A 21,408-nucleotide genomic window follows, 5' to 3' on the forward strand; every position below is an offset into this window, starting at 1 on the left:
ATACAGTATTCATTTTCCGATTCTGTTAAGTTTACCATTCAGAATTTTATAGTAGAAACATAGAACTACCCACCATCCAGCTGCGTTTTCTCTTGGCCTCTTGAGGTGGTAACCACGGCATTCCTACCATGGAAGTACTTTTGGTTCTGACTGAACCCCTGCCTTCCACACAAGGGTAGGCAAGGGGTCAATGCAGAAAGAGGGAAGAGCAGTCCCGCTCCTGCAAGAAACATTCCTCCTCCATCAGGCACAGCTTAATACTGACTGGCAGAGCACCATGTAACCATGGGAGGCAAGACAGGACGTTGATTGGAAGGCCCATTGGTGTTCAGTTTTGAAAGTCATCCTTGAAGGACTGCCTGGCACATGGCTCAGAGCATGCAGCAATGGCAGCTATTGCCCTGGGTGCCCGAGGCTGGGAGCACAGGCGGGCGCAGGGTAAAGGACACCTGCCAGCACACCTGCCACCCTCAGGTGTTATAGACAAGAGGTGGCACCACAGTCAAAACACAGATGGGCATAGGTCCACACTGGTGGCTCAAGCCCAAGGGTCAGCGATGAGCTGCCGGTAGCCAATGCCCTGAAGTCATCTTGTGTTCAATGTGAGAGTCGCCCCAATCAACATGTCAGCAGCATTCTGGTGCCCAATCCTGGGTGGGCCTACACTGCTTTCCAGGCCACCCACCTCAAATGGGGATCCAACCACCAGTCTCTGAGAGAGCCCCATAGATGTGAATTACAGAGCTCCCCAGGATATCTGGTTAACTCCATGTTTGCGGTAGAGGGTCAGAGGTCATCTCAAAGGGGAGAAATAAAGACTGGGGTCCATACGGGTCTGCGTCTGGGCTGGGGCATCCTGCTTGGGGAACACTGCCAGTCCCAGCTGTACCAGGCCCTCAGAAGGACTTAGAAAGTTCAAGGGAGACCTTCCAAAGCACTGGGGCAAGGGGAGATCTGAGGCGTGGGCCCACGGCAGGGGCTTCATTGGCCCAGTGCTGCCCCTTCCCCTCTAAAAAGGCTGAGACAGCAAAAGAACAGGGGAAGTGGTTGGGGGTGGGGGAACCAGGTACCCCATTTGCAGTGATTCATATAATCTGCAGACTCCAAAATAGTTAAAGGGCTGCCCACAGCAAGCACCTGAGATCCAGCAGCTTCCAATAGGAGGAGGCAAAGAGAAGATTCATGAAGTGTGGGGTGGTTGGGGGAAGCAATAAGCCAGTGATGGCAGGTCCTAGAAAGTGTCAGCAAAAATACAGATGGTGAGGGATGCCCCCGATATGATTTGGCTGTGTCCCCACCCAAATCTCATCTTGAATTGTAGCTCCTATAATTCCCACATGTTGTGGGAGAGACCCAGTAGGAGATGATTGAATCATGGGGGCAGTTTCTCCCATACTGTTCTCATGGTAGTGAGTAAGTCTCACAAGATCTGATGGTTTTATACGGGGTTTCCCTTTTTGCTTGGCTCTCATTTGCTCTTGTCTGCCACCATGTAAAATGTGCCTTTCACCTTCTGCCATGATTGTGAGCCCTCCCCAGGCACATGGAACAGTGAGTCCATTAAACCTCTTTTTCTTTATAAATTACCCAGTCTTGGGTATGTCTTTATCAGCAACATGAAAATGGACTAATACACCCCCTTACAAGTAAAATCTGTATCCTTGATTTCCAACAATAAGCGCTGACACTGAAGGGGGCAGCCTTGGCAACAGAGGCCCTGCTGGACTTCAGAGGAGCAGAGGAGGCCAATCAACAAAGAAAATAAAATCAACACAGAAAGAAAATCCCTGGGGAGTGGACCTGTGCCAGGCACTGTTCTAGGCAGAGATAGAGACAATATCTGTGAGCAAAACAGAAAAAAATTTCTGCTCTAAAAGAGTTTGCATTCTAGTGGGGGAAGACAGGGAATCAGCAGGATAAAGAGAAAACTTAGAAGTAAACTTAGAAGATGGCAAATGCTATGGAGAAATAAAAAGCAAGGAAGGTGGACAAAGAGTGCTGCCATTTTCTACTAGGTCATCCAGGAAGTCTTCAACGGAAATGGGATTGGAGCAAAGATTTGAAGGGCAAAAAGAATACTGAAATAAACGTCTTGGGGAAAATGTGAATTGATTTAGAGTTCACTCCACTGGCTTTTCATTAAGTATTTCAAAATAATGACTAGAATGTGCATGTGTTGTTAGAGTATTAATAGTTACCCTTGAGGCTGCTTGGACACCACTAACAAGACAGATTCTGAAGACAAGAATCTCATTGTGAAGAGGCAGACATGGGCTGCTGTCGGGAGTTGTGCTAGCCAGGATCCCCCACCCAGCTTCCCTAACCATAATCCTGAACACCCCTACTGTTGGCTGCAACTTTGTCCTTGAACATCCAGAACGCAGTGTTGTCCAGCAGCTCAGAGCCCCCATCTGTGAAGGAGGGCAGTGTCTCAGCAGCTGGCTGTTGAATAGATGTACAGGTGTAGGCCACTTCCAGACCCACAGTCAGGAGTTTTTCATTGTGCTTGTCCCCTGGCAGGACTTCAGGATGCACTACCAGACCCACTCCCTATCTCAAGTGGGTCCTCAAGGAGCCCTGTCCAGGGTTAAAAGGATCAATGGCAGCAGCAAGTCATGGGTCACAGCACACCAGGTGGAAAATTGAGCTCAGGGACCAAGGTATGTATCCCCAGCAGGATGCTGGTGATTAAGTTGCCTTTGAAACCTCCAGGGGAGAACAGGCTCCCCATTATTCCCCATCCTTTACATAGAGAACATTTTCTGGCTCCTAGACCAGGGGTGGCTGATCTGAGGAGCAGCCCCCATTGCAAGTTACCGATGGCAAAAGAATGTTTTTTTCGGGGATAGAATCAGGTGGCAAATACAGGATGCTTTGGCCATGGAGGAAGACTGCAGAGAAAGCCTAGACCTCAAATGACTTTGGGGAATATAGACGGGATAATCAAAGTGCCCCATCCAGGGCTCTGTTCTTGAGAATTGCAATAGAAGGAATGAGAGAATAAAAATCAAATGCAAAAAGTAAAGGCCACTTGGTTGTGGATTGGAAGGAAAAACATTAGGAGTTAAAAGACTATGACCTTGGGCTTGGGTGGGCCATTTAAAATTCTAAAGCCTCAATTTCCCCATTTGAAAGTGAGAGTTATACTTGACAATCTCCAAATTCTCACCCACTTTTAATATGCCTAGTCTATGCTTCTCTTGAATGGTTCATCATAATAGATAAAGGAGTGAACTTTGGGGAACATTTGCCAAAATTTAGATGTAAAATTCCTTCTTCCCACTAATCTGTTGGGAATTCAAGGACTGCAATTCCATTTCAGTACAGCTCTCTTTGCCACATTTGCTGAGAGAATACAGACCATTCTCAACAACTCAACTGTTGACGTCCAGAAAGGATTGCAATTTATCTGTAGAGATGCTAAGAGATTGTGAAAGCCCCCTGAGGAATACACAGACAGACTTCACTTAAGAGTTCAGTTTCCTCGGGGAAAAAAATGAAACAAGCTCCAGGTTGACAAATGGCAAGGAAATAAAAAGGAACTTACAAGCTCCAGAGTCATTTTTAAAACATGATCGGAGTTCATGACACCGGCTGCTGTTACAGCATTCAGCCTGGGTATGCTCACTTCCGCATCAATGTCATGATTCAGAACAGTGGGTCTTTGTTGAAATCTGAAATTTCTTGGGTAAAAGTATATCATCAGGTTTGTATGAGGCTAGGTGTTACTTGTATTTCAAGCCTCAAAAGCAAATAACGTTCAACTCATGTAAAATTTATTTTTTCTGATTGTAATTCATAACAGTCAAAACCAAGCATATTAGGAAATGTTGGATGGTATTTAAGTTTCTGAGACAGGAACAGCAAAATGATTTGATAGGTAAGATTTAAGGATTGTCCAGCTGTGAAGTTGCTGAGAGCTCAGCCTAATGTGTTATTTTTAAACTTGTAATAAAACACATCTGTTTTGTAAATGGTATTGCTAAACTGAGGGTTCTAGCATGAAATAACTAAATCCTGGTGACTTTAGGGCTAATCTTACATTCTTCGTGTGTTCCAAGTTAATTAATTAAATGTGAATTAAAGCTGGATTAATTAATCAAAGGTGAATTCATTAAATAATTAAAGGTGAATTCATTAACTAATTAAAGGTGAAAGTCTCATTCTGAATAATTTACTCAAGATTTACCAACCCTTGTGCAGAATCGGTCTCACTCCTCCAGAAGCCAAGAATCACATTTACATCAGTGTCCTGCCCAGGAAGGCACCTTCCCCATGCTTTGTCTCCATTCCACTGTGGTTTCCTTGGGTTTCCCCTTCTGCCAGACAGACCATGGGCTCACCAGGGAAGAGAAAGAGAGATGCTCAGCCCCCAAGCTGCTAGACTCTAGCTCCTCAACTCCAGCTACTGGCTAAATGGTAGCATGGCCTGGCTTCTAGATTGACACCCAGTGCCCTCCCTGTACTCTCGGGTTGGCCTTCTTGAGTACAATTTTTAAAATAATCACTAGCATGAGGAATTCATAAGATACAAACTATAAGAAAATGAATTAGATGCAGAATCCGGTTTTAACTTGTTTAGGAGATTAGTCTTAGTAGATGGTGTGATGGCTAATATTGAGTGTCAACTTGATTGGATTGAAGGATGCAAAGTATTGTTCCTGGGTGTGTCTGTGAGGATGTTGCCAAGGAGATTAACATTTGAGTCAGTGGAATGGGAAAGGCAGACCCACCCTTAATCTGGGAGGGCACCATCTAATCAGCTGCCAGCATAGCTAGAATAAAAGGAGGCAGAAGAACATGACGAAACTTGACTGGGCTAGCCTCCCAGCCTACATCTTTCACCCATGCTGGATGCTTCCTGCCCTCAAACATTGCACTCCAAGTTCTTCAGCTTTGGGACTTGGACTGGCTTCCTTGCTCCTCAGCTTGCAGATGGTCTACCGTGGGACCTTGTAATTGTGTGTGTCAATACTCCTTAATAAGCTCATATATATATATATCTCCTATTATATATATATATCTCCTATTATATATATATCTCCTATTATATATATCCTATATATATAATATCCTATTATATATATCCTATATATATATAATATCCTATTATATATATCCTATATATATATAATATCCTATTATATATATAAAGTATATATATTTATATATACTTTATATATATTTGTATATATATCCTATATAGCTCCTATATATATCCTATTATATATATATCCTATTTTATATATATATCCTATTTTATATATATATCCTATATGTAATATCCTATTTTATATATATATGTACCTCCTATATATATAGGAGTTTATTAAGGAGTGTTGACCCACACAATTACAAGGTCCCACAATAGACCTTGCAATATATATATATAGATATAGATATAGATATAGATATAGTATTGTGTGATATATATATATATATATATATCCTATTAGTTCTGTCCCTCTAGAGAACCCTAATACAGATGGAATGAGATTTTTAAAAGTAGATGCTTTTCTAGGTCGAGAGCAACCAAATTTTGGCAATTTCACATGACGTGAGCTCTACTTAGGAATCCTACAATTCTGGATTCTCTGTCTTCTTACCTGAGTTTTACCTATTCCTGCTCTTCCTGAGCTTCTCAGAATATGCCTTTAAATTCCACCATCTATCCTTAAGCCAGTTGAGTTCCCACTAAGCTCCTCTAGCCAACCCAACATCCATTCCATAAACATTCTTTGAGCACCAGTTCTGAACCAGGGACTGCTGCAGACACAAGGGCAGATGTAAGTCTGTCTTAGCCTTTGAGGAGTTCATAGTCTAGTGGGAAATTGAAACTTTAAAAATGTACATAATTAGGTTGGTGATAGAAATATGTCCAAAGTGTGGAAGAGAATCAAGAAGCATCATGCTTACGGGAAAGAGTGAGGATGATTTCAAAGAAGAGTCGATATGTGGATTGTGTCCTGAGAGAACTGTAAGATTTCCTGAACAAACCCAAGTAGGGAAGGCATTACAGCAGGCATGATGTGAAATCTGGGCTCTGGAGCCATGAAAGAACACTGAAAGTTCTGGGGAAGGGCCAGTAGCTCCATAGGGCCCAATGATAGGATGCAAGGAGGGGCTGGGTGTGGTGGCTCACACCTGTAATCCCAGCACTTCGGGAGTCCAAGACAGGAGGATCATTTGAGGCCAGGAGCTCAATACTGCAGTGAGCTATGATCGCACCACTGCATTCCAGCCTGGGTGACAGAGCAAGAGCTAGTCTCTAAAAATTAAAAATAAAGAAGATGCAAGGATATAAAAGGAGATTGCTGTCAGATCTTAAAGGAGCATGACATTCTCTCCCTGAATCATGTGTTTAAGCCACAAAATTTTTTTCTAACCAGAGAAGTGACATGATGTTTGTTTTTGAAATATAATTTTGCAAAATTGTCATTTTTGAAATATAATTTTGCAAAAATTATATTTCAGGAGTGCTTTTCTTCCTGTGACCTGTGAGACCAGAAAGAAGAATCAAGCCAAATGAGTAGGATGTGTAGGCTGTAAAAACTATCTTTATTTTTTTTCTACTTATAAAAGAAATACAGATTCATTCTAAACAATTCAAACATTATAGAAATACACAACATAGAAATCAAATGCTCCCTGTAATCCAACCTCCCAGACCCAAACCACTGTTACTACATCTGGTATAGATTTCTTTACACTTTTATTTCAATGCCATTTCAATGGCAAAAACCACAATTAGTTTTGCACCAACCTAATAGTTTATAACATATTAATATGTTTTTTCCATACCAGGAAATATACAGCTACCTTATTCTTTTTAGTGGCATGTAATATTATATTACATTAATGTACTATAATTTATTGAATTAGACCTTATTTTGTGGCCATGAGGATGTTTTCCATTTTTTTCTTTTTTTTTTTTCTTTTTTTTGAGATGGAGTCTCGCTCTGTCACCAGGCTGGAGTGCAGTGGCTCGATCTCAGCTCACTGCAACTGCCACCTCCCGGGTTCAAGCGATTCTCCTGCCTCAGCCTCCCAAGTAGCTGGGACTACAGGCGTGCACCATCACGCCCAGCTAATTTTTGTATTTTTAGTAGAGACAGGGTTTCACCATGTTGGCCAGGATGGTCTCCATCTCTTGACCTCGTGGGTCACCCACCTTGGCCTCCCATAGTGCTGGGATTACAAGAGTGAGCCACTGCACCTGGCCACATTTTTCATGATTATAAACAATCCTGGGATGAACACCTTTTTCCATAAGCCCTTATAAACTTGTGAAGGTGTTTCTATAGGATACATTCTTAGAAATCCTTCTAGAAACTGATATGAAGGGAATAACCATTTTTTATTTTAATAAATATTGTCAAATTGCCATCATAAAGGTTGTATCAATGTACATCCCAACAGTGTATGTGGTCCCCAACTTCCCAAGGACTGTGGGATTTTATAGACAATCTGTTCTCATCAGAGAGATTGTAGAACCTCGAGACTCTTCATTTAACTCTGTGAATGTCTGCAGTTCATACATTTCTCTGGTGGCTAATACATTAACATTAATAGCAGCTCGAAGGTTTGCCCAGAAAAGCCCACATTTACGCCTATCCTTGGGCCATTCCAAGTATGCTTTTTTTTCCAGGAGAGCTTTCAGTTTATGATACCTGGTGGGAATGCAATAGAATGGAATGGGTTCCAGTAAGATAAGAATTATATGATCAGAATTTTCATGGAAGAGATTGTGGTGGGCAAAGTAGAATTCATAATGGCACCACTCATTCTGGACAAAGTTGGGAGACAAAACAAAGATGGACTTATAGCTTTTCTCAATGAAGCTTACAATATTTTCACTAATGCTTTTGCCAGGGTCAAAGTAGCTTTCATAAAGGCAAATCAAGATAGAACCATCTTCCTTCTCTAGATTGGGGATCAATTCATTCTTCACCCACAGAGAATCATGTTCACTGTATGAAATAAATGCGTGGAATCGGACATTTCTCTTGAGTTGTTCTTGGGTTGTTTTCCTAACCCTGTGCCATGTTTGTGTGCATTGACCTAGCATCCTGAGATACCAGGGCAGATCAAAGTGGAGACAGCAGAAGGCCACAGCCAACCCCAGAACTAGCATAATAACCACAATGGTGACAATCAACAGAGCTGTGTTGCAAGATAATTCGTGGAGATGAACGTCTTTTAACCTAGTTCCCCTTAGGTTTAAAGGGTATTCACAGGTGTATGAATCTGACCATCCAACCATCATGACCTCTGAATATGTTTCAAGCTGAATGAAATTTTTTAATTCACAGGTACACCGGAATGGATTTCTTCCCGCATTTAGAGTTTTAACTTCCTGGCAGCTCTGAACAAAATCCAGAGATGGGCTGAGAATGAAGTTCATTTCAATGTTCAGAACTGAAAGTCTACTGAAATGACTGCATCCAGGGAGATCAGTTAGAAAATTAAATGCAATATTTAGTTCTCGTAAGGCCATCAGATGAATAGTCTCTTTAGGTACAGTTTGGATTTGGTTATTATTTAGGTCAAGTATTTGAATACTTTTGGGCAAGCACCTGAAGACAGAATCAGACAATTTATTGTATGACAGATTCATATTGACCACAGTTTCTGGCCATGAGCAATTTTCATCATTTTTATGTTGTAATAGATTTTGACTCAGATCCAAGTGTTCCAAGGGTGTGTTGTTAGCAAAGCAACTTACTAAAGAAAGTGTCTCCAGTTTATTGCCATTCAAAATGAGAGTTTTCAAGTGAGGCAGTTGGATAGTTCTTTTAAACAACTCGTCTGTTAAGATATTATTGGCAAAATTTAAATATTGGAATTTCGTAGGATAATTCGGGAAAAGCATGTGTGGCATTTGTGCATTTGATATTGTCAGGTTTTCTATGTCCATTTTGGTCAAAAGCAAATAGATTTTATCCTGTTGAATGTAAAACACTCTGAAATGTACATGCTCCAATTTTATAGTTCTCATTACAGTATTTGAGTAGTCAAATGAATTGTGGTCAAGATAAGCCTTACCACCAAAAGTCACATTTCGGATCTGAAAGTGTTCCACTGATGTATGCCAAACAAATTGTAAGATAAGGAAAAGGTCGTCCCAGAGTAAATCAACTTTATTAAGCAATAGAACCGATGTCTTAGCATTTTCTAAACTAAGATTTCGTTGCATTTCATAACTTACAAATTGGCTTTTGCCATCTATATTTGTCATTTCTAATATTTTTGAAGTCTTGATTCCATCACGCAAAAGAACCCAGAAATTTGTGTCCATTGGTAAAACAATGTGCAGTTTTGTTGTGTTTAAGATGGGCAGGCTACCTTCTTCATAATGAGGAAGAGTTCTGAATCCTAAGAAGACAGTATTTAGATGCAGATGAGCAATTTTCTGGAAATCTGATTTTTGTATTTTTGCCCCACTCAAACCTAGGATTTCCAGGTGTGACATGTTGCCAGCTTCCTCACAGATAGGCATGGTGTCAAAGTCATTAAAAGAAAGATCTAAATACCTGAGACCTGCCAGTAAATACCAAGTTACACTCTTCAGTCTGTTATTAGACAAATCTAAATATCTTAACTCCTTGTTGAATTCAAAGGTTTTGAGATCCAGCTGTTGAATTCTGTTATGGCATAGAATCAAAACTCTCAGTTTGGAGACAGAATGAAAATCTGAACTCTGGAGTTGAAAAAGGAGGTTATAGGATAAATCCAGTGTCGTTGTGGCTGGGGTCAAGTCTGCGGGAACCTTTCTTAGAGACATGTTGGAGCAGTTGGTCATCAGTTCCCTTTCTTCTGGCAGCTCTGGAGCATCACCCTCTGCTGTCATAACAATACTACAAAATATGTAAATGTTTCTGATGAGTCTCATTGTATTTCCAAGGATTTTACCACTTATTTCCTCATATGAATGATGAAGATGAGCTCAAAACCCTAAAAAAAAGTATATAATATTAGATTTTTATTTGGTTTGTTAAATCCTGTAGGATTTTTATTTGCAAAAAAAATGCCAACATCTGACTACATTCATCAAGAGGTTGGAGTAAGGTTCCAACCTGTATATTGGGTCTTCGACTTGATCTCAGAGCATTGGCTGAGAAGTCTCCAAGCTGGCTACTGTGCCATGTCTCCGTTGTTGAGGTAAGTCAGGATTCTCAGAGAGGAGAAGCATAATGGACCTTTGGTTTAAGAACTGCATTGTCAGGCCAGACTCAATACCCTCTCTCACATCTCCTTTTGATAGCCTGAAGATTTCAAGAAAATTGAAAGTAATTTGTTTTATTACCAGACATTGTGAGCCTTTGACTTGATATCAAGGAGTTACCCCTCAATTTTTGTATTTGTGGATATAGAAAGTCCCTGGAGCCAATATCTGACTTTCAACACTTACCTTACAGATGGAAGTTTCAAAACAGGAAACAAATAGAATTATTCCTGTCCTTCTGCCTCTATATGTCTTCAGGTTGGTGGCAAAAGCAATCTGGATTACTGCCAAATAATAGTATTAATGTTGAAAAACAATTTCCAGGTGTGACATGTTGCCAGCTTCTCCACAGATAGGCATGGTGTTAGTCATTAAAAGAAAGATCTAAATGTCTGAAACCTGCCAGTGAATACCAAGCCACAATCTTCAGTCTGTTGTTAGACAACTATAAATGTCTTAACTTCTTGTTGAATTCAAAGGTCTTGATATTCAGCTGCTGAATTCTGTTATGGCATAGAATCAAAGCTTTCAGGTTAGATTTCAATGTGCCAAGATACATACTAATTGCTTCATGTATATTATCTCATTTATTTATCACCATACTCTGTGAGGGAAGTACTACTACTCCCATTTGATAGATGAGGAAATTGAAGGATATAGAATTCTGAGGACTTTGGGAGATGTGCCAGGCTTCACGTGGTTGGATTAGACGTAGAACAGAGGTAGTTGGAGTACTAAGATTTTACGATATTCATTATTCAAGATATTTATTAAGTACCTATTCTGCCAGAAACTTTTCTAGGCACTGGGGAAGTAGCAGTGAACAGAAGAGATTTCTGTTTCTACATAGCTTATATTCTAGAAAGAAGTTAAGAAAAGAGAGACTGCAAACAAAACAATACGTTTATATGTTATGACTCACAATTCCACATGCCTGGGGAGGCCTCACAATCATGGTGGAAGGCGAATGAGGAGCAAAGTCATGTCTTATGTGGCAGCAGGCAAGAGAGCATGTGCAGGGAACCTCCTCTTTATAAAACCACCAGATCTCATGAGACTTATTCACTATCATGAGAACAGCATGGGAAAGACCCGCCCCCATGATTCAATTACTTCCCACCAGGTCCCTCCCACAACATGTGGGAATTATGGGAGCTACAGTTCAAGATGAGATTTGGGTGGGGACCAATATCAGGCAGTGATATTGTCTTGAAGGAAAAATAACTAAGATAAGGGAAACAGAGAGAGACTGGGGAGTGATTTTCTTTTTTATAGAATGATCAAAAATGGCCTCCCTGATAGTGATCTTCATGCAGAAATCTAAAGGGGCCAAAGAAGCAAGACACTTGTTGTCTGGGGAAAGAGTATTTTGGAGAGAGAGAGAACAGCAAGTACAAATTTAAAGATCCTGATGTGCTTGGAAAATGTGAGGAAGACCTGGAGTGGAGTTAGGGGACGGAATCAGAGAAGAGGTCGGATCTTATAAGAACTTGGCAATTTTCCTCTGACTGAAATAAGAAACCAGCAGAAGATTTAGAGTCCAGGAATGACAGGTTCTGACATACATTTTAAAGATTCCTCTGTTTGAGGCAACCTATAGAATGGGAGAAAATTTTTGCAATCTGTCCATCTGACAAAGGGCTAATACCCAGAATCTATAAAGAACATTAAAAAATTTACAAGAAAAAAACAACCCCATCAAAAAGTGGGTGAAGGATATGAACAGGCACTTCTCAAAAGAAGACATTTATGCAGCCAACAAACATATGAAAAAAAGCTCATGATCACTGGTCATTAGAGAAATGCAAATCAAAACCACAATGAGATACCATCTCATGCCTGTTAGAATGGTGATCATTAAAAAGTCAGGAGACAACAGGTGCTGGAGAGGGTGTAGAGAAATAGGAACGCTTTTACACTGTTGGTGGGGGTGTAAATTAGCTCAACAATTGTGGAAGACAATGTGGCGATTCCTCAAGGATCTAGAACTAGAAATACTATTTGATCCTGCAATGCCATTACTGGGTATCTATCCAAAGGATTATAAATCATTCTACTATAAAGATACATGCACACACGTGTTTATTGCAGCACTATTCACAACAGCAAAGACTTGGAACCAACCCAAATGCCCATCAATGATAGACTGGATAAAGAAAATATGGCACATATACACCATGGAATACTATGCAGCCATAAAAAAGAATGTGTTCATGTCCTTTGCAGGGACATGGATGAATCTGGAAACCATCATTCTCAGCAAACTAATACAAGAACAGAAAACCAAACACCACATGTTCTCACTCATAACTGGGAGTTGAACAATGAGAACACATTGACACACACCGGGGCCTGTCAGGGGGTGGGGGGCTAGGGGAGGAATAGCATTAGGAGAAATACCTAATGTAGATGATGGGCTGATGGGTGCAGCAAACCACCATGGCATGTGTATACCTATGTAACAAACATGCACGTTCCGCACATGTACCCCAGAACTTACAGTATAAAATAAATAAATAAATAAATAAACAAACAAACAAATAAAAAGATTCCTCTGTTTGTTGGGTGGAAATGACTGGGAGCCACAAGGCTGGCAGGGAAGACTCCTTGGGACACTATAGCGTAACTTGTGCCAGAGAGAATGTATCAATGGAAGTGGAGAGAAGTGGTTAGATTCTAATTTCAAATTAGTAAACAATTTAACTCTACGTGTCCCCACACCAGGCTCTCTGAAGGCACCAAGAGCAGGTGATAAGTTAGTGGGGGAGTTTTTCTGCTTCCATTTGTATGTATCTGTTACACATTGACCCTCAACCTCCCTCAGACAGGTCACTCCCATAGACAAGCAGAGGGAGCAAAAGATATGCTCAACAGAAAGAGGATGGGTTAGAGAGAATTCTCTGTGCGTGTCATGTTCCCATCATTCTGAAAGCCTGGATGGGAGGTGAGGGAGGCAGTGGGCACGCCCATCCACAGGAATGCACACAAACATGGCAGGGTAACAAAGGTGGGGCAGAATCAAAACATAAGGCCACTTAGAATGTTACCTCTCTCTCATCTGTATTTCTCTTTCTCTAGAACCTTCCCAAGTCTGGTTTTTTTCTTGAAGTGAAGAAATTCCAGAAAACCTATGGAGAGTAGGGAGTGAGAGGGCCACTCCCAAGTTTTCCATTAGCTGCTGATACTAGTAAAGGAGAGAGAGCATCTTATCTCTTATCTTGGGAACACATATGATCATAGTTTCTTTGTGTGAACTCCCTTACAATGTAAACTTGGAGAATTCCTTTGTAAAAATATTAATTATCCACATTGATCATATAATTTTTATATTTCATAAACTATTGTTTCTGGTAAGTGTTCTCAAATATCTTGGAGAAAAAGCAATCATTTTGGTAAGGTCACCACATTTAGATGATTTCTCAAAACACCAACTTTTAAAAACGTGGTCAAATGACTTAAGATGCCTCCGGCCGTATTTTTCTTTGCTGACATTTCAGTGACTCCCTAGAGTGTAATGTATACTAAAATATTATACTGCATTAATATGTAAATATAACACAGGATAATTATCAGAAAAAACAGGTGAATATTCTATTTAATTAACTTAGTTCCTGCTGGATTTTTGAACTGTTATATATTTAAGAGTAAGTTTTCTACATCTACTTTTAAATATTTCTAATAGAAAATCAGTTTACAACTGTGGCCTGGAAGTGTAATTACTACTCAAATTATTGTGTTCATAGTATCCAATGTATAATGATAAACTTTATATTTTCTTTCAGTTTTCTTAAAACTATACATTAAAATTCAGAATATCTTAATTTCCATGCCACTAGATGCAGAAAATAATTTTCCATGAATTCATGATCTCTTCTGAATGACCTCTTAGTAAATAAACTTTCATTCATTTGCTTGTCACCTGTCCCTTCTCTGTTCATTCCCGTGGTAGCTGTCTGTCTTGTTCACTTCTGTATCCTCAGCATGTAGCATAGTGCTTGACACATGGTGCCTGCTCATTACTGCTTGTTGAATGCACATATGAATGAATGAATCCTTGTATGTATGAATTTCAACGTTTTAATCCTTAGTACAACGTGATGCATAATATGCTCTCATAAATATGTGTTGAATGAATGAATTTATGTTGTGAATTCCTGATACAGTGCAGGGCATGATGGTTGAAGAATGAGTTTGGTAGGCCTGGCGCGGTGGCTCAGGCCTGTAATCCCAGCACTTTGGGAGGCTGAGGCAGGTGGATCACAAAGTAAGGAGATCAAGACCATCCTGGCTAACATGGTGAAACCCTGTCTCTACTAAAAAAATACAAAAAATTAGCTGAGCGTGGTGGCATGTGCCTGTAGTCCCAGCTACTCGGGAGGCTGAGGCAGGATAATCACTTGAACCCAAAAGGTGGAGGTTGCAGTGAGCTGAGATGCCACCACTGCACTCCAGCCTGGGCAACAGAGCAAGACTCAGTTTCAAAAAAAAAAAGAATAAGTTTGGTTTTAGTGATTGATGGATCTGTGTTCAAATCCAATGTTAACCATTCATCCACTCATTAGCTATGTACTCGGACCATTTATTTAATCTCTGAAAGATCTGGTTTTGTCATCTGTAAAATGGAGCTTGTGAAGAGGCATAAGACAATGTATGTAAGTCACTTAGTACCATGCCTAGCATATCACACTTAATAAATGGTGGCAGTTATCAGGTCAAGACTCGGGTGAAGCAAGGAAGGCATAAATGTTAAGGGGGTCCCAAGGAACTCAGTAATCAAGATAATGTTTACATGAAATATTTTTAAAAATGAAAATTAATGCAAAAATCTATGTTGAACAAAATATCGAAATTTTTCATAAAGACAGGATCAGTATTGCTGATTGTTTCTTTTGCCTCAGGCTCTATTATGGCTTGATAGGACCCTGGCAGTTATAATCATTAGGTTGACAAAGGTGCTTTTAATGTTATCCTCTCATAGAGTGCTTAATTTGTAGCAATTGACTTTAAGCTTCTAGGTCTTAGAGCCATGGCCCCTTAAGAATGCAGCAGAATCTAACCCAGTTGCTTTAGCTGGAACTCTGCGCTGAGAAGTCAGAGTTTCTATCTCTTACCCACTTCTTCCCCCTGCCCAATACCACAGTCTTATCTGGGACTACAATGGGAGAGGAACTCTTTTTGAACTTCTCTTAATATAACAATAGTAAAGGTCCTATCTCTCAGGCAATACTTATGCATTATGACATTTTATAAAAACAACTTTTACATAGAGACAGGGTCTCACTATGTTGCCAAGGCTGCTCTTAAACTCCTGGCCTCCAGCAATCTTCCCACCTCAGCCTCCCAAATGGGTGTGATTAGAGGTGTGAGCCACTGTGCTTGGCCTCATTAAAGCAATTTTAAAAGTAGGACATACACTTTTTTTTTTTTTTGAGATGGAGTCTCGCTCTGTTGCCCAGGCTGGAGTAAAGTGGTATGATCTCAGCTCACTGCAAGCTCCACCTCCCAGGTTCAAGCGATTCTCCTGCCGCAGCCTCCTGAGTAGCTGGGATTACAGGCACCTGCCATCACACCCGGCTAATTTTTGTATTTTTAGTAGAGATGGGGTTTCACCATGTTGGTGATGTAGTCTATAAATAGTATATATATGTTAATATCATATCCCTACTACTACGTTAAAAGCAGGTAAAAAACAGAGAATGACCTTCCTTAATACATCTTTAATATCTTATAATTTAAAAGTCCAAGTCAAAAGACATCATCAAATGACAACTAGTGTTTTACCAAAGAATATTTAATCATCTAATTTATCTTTTCCCAATGATATAAAGAAATAGAAAAGAGATTAAGAACCTATTGAATGTTGAATGATCTTTGCAACATAAGAGTAAGAATGACTTCTTTTCAGTATTTCCTACGTGTCTGACATGGAGCTAAGTGTTTTATGTCCATTACCTTGTTTAATCCCTCAATGACTCAACAAAATGGCGGCCATTATTATTCATATTTTACAGATGGAGGAGCTAAAGCCCAGAGGTAAAGTAACTTGCCCAAGATGACCAACTGAAGAAGCAGAGATTTGAACCCAGACCTGTCTGGTTCCTTCTGGATGGTAACTAAACCCAAATGCAAGGCACCTCAAACCTTGAAATGAGGTGGCTTAAGATGTAACGACATCCTAAGGACCGAATCACTGAGGTTGAATCCATTGATCTGACCAGCTGCCATGGCGGCCACTTCCTCCTTTCTCACCCCATGCCCCTGTCTATGAAGCTTCATGCAGCTGCTGTGGGACACTCTGCTAGGTGCCACAAAGTTCAAGAGACTTTGCCTACATGTATAAATATATTCTTAGGAAAGTTATAAGTTCACAAGAATTGAAATAAAACTCGAAGTGCATCCTATTCCTAATTAATAGCTCAGTGTAGGTGGTCTGGGAGAAAGCTTATCAAGAAACCAAATGCTCACAGGTTGTTAACCATCCTCTTCTTTACAGCAACCACATATGGCCCTCTTTGTCCACTTCTGAAGGAAACGGAATAAGAACTGCATTGTACAAGATCCATCAGATCTGCCCCTACTTTTAAACAGGTAACACAAATGCAGAACTTTTCAACGGGGTAAAGGAGCAACAAATATGCCTTAAATAGCCAAAGGTTTCATCCAGCAGAGGTTAACATACGCTGTGGGGAAATAAGAGCTAGAAAAAACTTGCCACAGTGCATAGGACCGTTCAATCTGAATAGAAGAGCTGACCAGGTTTGATCCGCAATCAGTGAAAAGAAACCCACGCTCTCAAGCATCTGCAAGAAATTCCTCAGATCAATAGCCCCAAGGTCACTAATCATTAATCTAGACAAAATAGTAAATACTAAAAATCTAAATAACCCTACTTCCCTCCCCTCAATATTAGCTCAAATTATCTCCTTTTTAGAAAATACCCATGCAGCCCTTATATCTTTTTAATGAGAGTTACAACAAACAAAGCTAAGGTTCTTACCCCACGGCTTGCACTCTCTCAGCAGAGCTGCAGGTGCGTGGATGATTCGTTGACACGGTCAGAATTGGCTGCAGGAGGGAATTGAATCGAGGTTTTCTGTAAAGCTTAAACCCCATCCGCCCTCTTCTGCATGCTACTGGTATTGCATGTTATATATATTCATTATAATCTTAGCACTTTTTTAAATTGTGGTCAAATACACATAACATAGGAGTTATCATGCTCACCATCTTTCTATTTTTATTTTTATTTTTATTTTTTTTGAGGTAGGGTCTCACTTTGTCACCCAGGCTGGAGTGCAGTGGTGTGATCACTGCTCACTGCAGCCTTGACCTCTTGCGCTAAAGCCCGCAAGAGGCTGGGCTTCTCAGTCCCGCAAATGTCTGGGACTACAGGCGCTCACCAACTGGCCTGGCTAAGTTTTTTGTATTTTTTGTAGAGACGGGGTTTCGCCAGTTGCCCAGGCTGGTCTTGAACTCCTGAGCTCAAGTGATCTGCCTGTCTCGGCCTCCCAAAGTGCTAGGATTACGGTGTGAGCCACCGCGCCTGACCTTAAGCATTTTTAAATGTACAATTTAGTGGCATTAATTAAGTACATTCACACTGTTGTGCAACCACCACCACTGCCCATCTCCAAAGATTTTTCGTCATCCCAAACTGAAATTCTATGCCATTAAAAAATAATTTCCCATTTTCCCCTTCCCTCAGACCCTGGAAACTATAATTCTACTTTCTGTCTGTGTGAATTTGACTACTCTAGGTACCTCATGTCCGTGGAGTTATACCATATTTGGTTTTTTGTGACTGGCTTATTTCATTGAGCATAATGTCTTTAAGGTTCATCCATATCATTTCTATTATTATTACATAGAATAATAGAATCTTTCCTTCCTTTTTTAAGGCTGAATACTATTTTGTTGTATGTACGTCCCACATTTTGTTCATTCATTCATCCATCAATGGACATTTGGGTAGTTTTCACCTTTTGGCTCTTGTGAATAATGCTGCTGTGAACGTGGTGCACAAATATCTATTTAAGTTGGTACTTAACATTCTTTTGAGTCTATACCTAGAAGTGGAATTCACGGATCGTATGACCATTCTGTTTAATTTTTTGCAGAACTACCATACTGGTTTTCCACAGCATCTTAGAGCTCTTTGATGATGCTTTTCTTCAAGGTGCAGGTCGGTTATCCCTTTCATCAGTTGGGTGGGGCAGTCATGTGATGATGGGCAGGAGTAGGAATGGTGACTCCATAATTTCAGCAATCAGGCAGGAAGAGGGTGGAAAGGAGTTATCTAGAGCAGTGGTCCCCAACCCCTGGGCCACAGACAGGTACCAGTTCATGGCCTGTTAGGAACCGAGCCACACAGCAGGAGGTGAGTGGTGGGTAAGCAAATGAAGCTTCATCTGTATTTACAGTCGCTCCCCATCGCTTGCATTACCACCTGAGCTCCACACCCTGTCATATCAGTGGCAGCATTAGATTCTCATAGGAGCTTGGACCCTACTGTGAGCTGCATATGGGAGGGATCTAGGTTGCGTGCTCCTTATGAGAATCTAATGTCTGATGATCTGTCACTGCTTCCCATCATGTCAGATGGGACCATCTAGTTGCAGGAAAACAGGCTCAGGGCTTCCACTGATTCTACATTATGGTGAGTTGTATAATTATTTCATTATATATTACAATGTCATAATAATAGAAATAAAGTGCACAATAAATGTAATGTGCTTGAATCATCCCGAAACCATCTCTCCTCCATCTCCAAACCCGGTCTGTGGAAAAACTGTCTTCCATGAAATTGGTCCTGGTGCCAAAAAGATTGGAGACCTCTGACCTAGAGGCCTTTTCTTGAAGTGAAGTGGTAAAATAAGCATGGTATTTTTTAAAATGTAGATCGCAAAGTACGGATCAATTTTTAAAGCAACATTTTTGAGGTTTTTTTCATACTTGACTTAAGATTTAGGTGACTGCTGGAGATCACGAGTAAAGAAGAAAATTTCCAGATGGATTTGTCTACAGGAGGAATGATCAATTTAAACATGAATGATTATAATAGATTTATGTCTTATAAAATTGGGGAGTGGGTGGGTTCTTAAAATACATTTTTTAACTATCATATTGGGGTTTTTAAATTTAAAATGTAGTCCATGTATTTCCACATATATTGTAGGGGGAAATCACACAAAATATAAATAACTGTAAAAAGAAAAACAACAGCAAAACAAAACCAGCTCTGCTCCTCACCTAAACATATACAAACATGTCTATATTACACAAACGTAGGAAGACAGGAACACCCGTCAGGAACGTTGGAGAGGGGATTCCCAGCTTGTTGGATGAACTAAGCTCTAAAATCTTTTTCATTTCAGAAATTCTCAAATTACTATGATCAGCACACTCACACTGTATATTGCCCTCTCAAGGAAAAATAATCACTTGGGGTTTTTGTTGTCCAAAGACATATTCTTCCTTTCCCCAGAGACCAACATGTTTAAATACTTTATTGTCAGAAAACGGAGAAGTTTTCTTTAAGTGTTTTTACATTTGTTTACCAAAAACAAGTTGAGCCAAGTAGAGTTGTTGCTTGTGTCATCTAATCATCATCATTAAGCTTGCATTTACTTCCTAAGTGCAGATAGTATTGCACACAAGATATTGGCTAATCACCACCACAAACTACATAGAACATATACTTTATTCCCATTCGCCAGATGGAAAAACTGGTTGAGAGAGAACAAAAAACTTGCACAAGGTCATCATCCAATAGGGGAGGGAGCCAAGATTCAAAACTAAGTAAGTCTGGTTCCAAAGCCCACAATTTTTTCACGACTCCAGATGCCCAAGAGGTTATGTAATACTCTCTCTGCCTTCACCTGAGATTTCTAAAACGTTTAAATCTTTATTCACAACTAGCAACCAAGAATAGTATGCTCAGAACCATATGTGCTGATAACTTTAAGATGTAATATTTTTATTCCTTTTTAAAAAACTTCCCCCTGCCCCTACACACATGCATGCACGCAGGCACGCGCACACACACGCACGCACACACACAAACACACAAACACACATTTCCCTCCTATGTCTTCCTCTGATACCAGACGTGGGCCAGCTGTGATTCTGCCTTCATATATGTTGCAATGAACAGAGAACCTTGGGTTACCACAAGGGGATGGAGGTTTATTTTAAAGACACTAGAGGCTGTAAGGAAACACAGCAGCACAGCCAGGCCCTCTAGAGACCTGGAGCAGTGGCTTCTGGGGACTCCCAGAGCAGCCGTGGTGGTCAGGCTGTCTGGTTGGGCTGCTCTCCACTTTAGCTATGACTTGACTTCTCTTTGACTCTTCCTCAATCTGCTTCTCTTTCTATTCCCCACTTCTCTTTATTGCTGCCTTTGCTTCTATATGTGTCTTCCTACAGCCTTTTCCCAGGCTCATGGCTTACAGTCAAGGGCTGAGGCCCGCTCTGAGAATACTTCCCCCAAGAAGGGAAATCTGATCAGATCTTTGCCTCACTATGCAAGATGGAGCGTCTCTATTGGGCAGAGGATTCATGACCACCTTACAGGCGGCTAGCTTATTTTATTTTTATTATTATTTTGAGATAGAGTCTTGCTCTGCTGCCCAGGCTGGAGTGCAGTGGCATGATCTCAGCTCACTGCAACCTCCTCCTCCTGGGTTCAAGTGATTCTCCTGCCTCAGCCTCCCAAATAGCTGGGATCACAGGCATGTGCCACCATGCTCGACTAAGTTTTGTATTTTTAGTAGAGATGGGGTTTGCCATCTTGGCCAGGCTGGTCTTGAACTCCTGACCTCAGGTGACCCACTCACCTCGGCCTCCCAAAGTGCTGGGATTACAGGTATGAGCCACCGCACCCAGTCTATTTTTATAGTTCTTGCCTTTAAGAGGGCCTTGGTCCCTGATCCAGGCAGGTAGGAAAGTTACATGACCTAGAGCTGCTCACGGGTAGAAGAAAGGGCCTGGGCTTGCATTCTCCCTAAGAGCACTGCGGGTGGTTCAGGGTCTAGTGTGGAGCACGTGTTAGCTGGGGAAAGCTCCTTTACTTTAATTACTGGTATCAGTAAGTGAAAATAGTAACAACTTTTTTTTTTTCTGAATCCTATTTCTGAAAAATAAATGAAAAGTAATAAAATTCTCACATGGTTAGAAAATTTAAA

General features: G+C 40.6%; 1 protein-coding gene across 11 annotated transcripts, besides 3 other annotated features; it reads right to left on the reverse strand.

Annotated features, from left to right (window-relative positions):
* Positions 1-6,539: 6,539 nt before the first annotated feature.
* TLR10 (toll like receptor 10) lies at positions 6,540-17,292 on the reverse strand. 11 transcript variants are annotated; one of them, XM_011513762.3, is made up of 4 exons: positions 17,223-17,292; positions 10,412-10,509; positions 10,077-10,265; positions 6,540-9,954 (listed from the first exon to the last, which is right to left on the reverse strand). In XM_011513762.3, exon 4 carries the CDS (start codon positions 9,890-9,892, stop codon positions 7,457-7,459), a length of 2,436 nt encoding a protein of 811 aa, XP_011512064.1. In that variant the 5' UTR covers positions 9,893-9,954; positions 10,077-10,265; positions 10,412-10,509; positions 17,223-17,292; the 3' UTR covers positions 6,540-7,456. The 11 variants fall into 11 exon arrangements, with proteins under 11 accessions (XP_011512064.1, NP_112218.2, NP_001182036.1 ...); NM_030956.4 differs by having other exon boundaries at positions 10,412-10,728; NM_001195107.2 differs by lacking the exon at positions 10,412-10,509.
* Positions 13,067-13,236: an enhancer, noted in NCBI's record as "experimental_79942 CRE fragment used in MPRA reporter constructs". NCBI's record gives its function as "activates a minimal promoter by MPRAs in K562 erythroleukemia cells, with activity observed for both the introgressed and non-introgressed 4:38780471 variant alleles {active_cell/tissue: K562}" and the evidence as "EXISTENCE:reporter gene assay evidence [ECO:0000049][PMID:34662402]".
* Positions 16,172-16,381: an enhancer, noted in NCBI's record as "active region_21448". NCBI's record gives its function as "activates an Ori minimal core promoter by ATAC-STARR-seq in GM12878 lymphoblastoid cells {active_cell/tissue: GM12878}" and the evidence as "EXISTENCE:reporter gene assay evidence [ECO:0000049][PMID:35858748]".
* Positions 16,444-16,613: an enhancer, noted in NCBI's record as "experimental_79947 CRE fragment used in MPRA reporter constructs". NCBI's record gives its function as "activates a minimal promoter by MPRAs in K562 erythroleukemia cells, with activity observed for both the introgressed and non-introgressed 4:38783848 variant alleles {active_cell/tissue: K562}" and the evidence as "EXISTENCE:reporter gene assay evidence [ECO:0000049][PMID:34662402]".
* Positions 17,293-21,408: the final 4,116 nt, after the last annotated feature.

This window comes from Homo sapiens, chromosome 4 (genome assembly GCF_000001405.40).
Source record: "Homo sapiens chromosome 4, GRCh38.p14 Primary Assembly".
NCBI classification, from domain to species: Eukaryota; Metazoa; Chordata; class Mammalia; order Primates; family Hominidae; genus Homo; species Homo sapiens.

Excerpts from the sequence above, each read along its gene's own strand:
- TLR10 (NM_001017388.3), bottom strand. The coding sequence starts at position 9,892 with ATGAGACTCATCAGAAACATTTACATATTTTGTAGTATTGTTATGACA.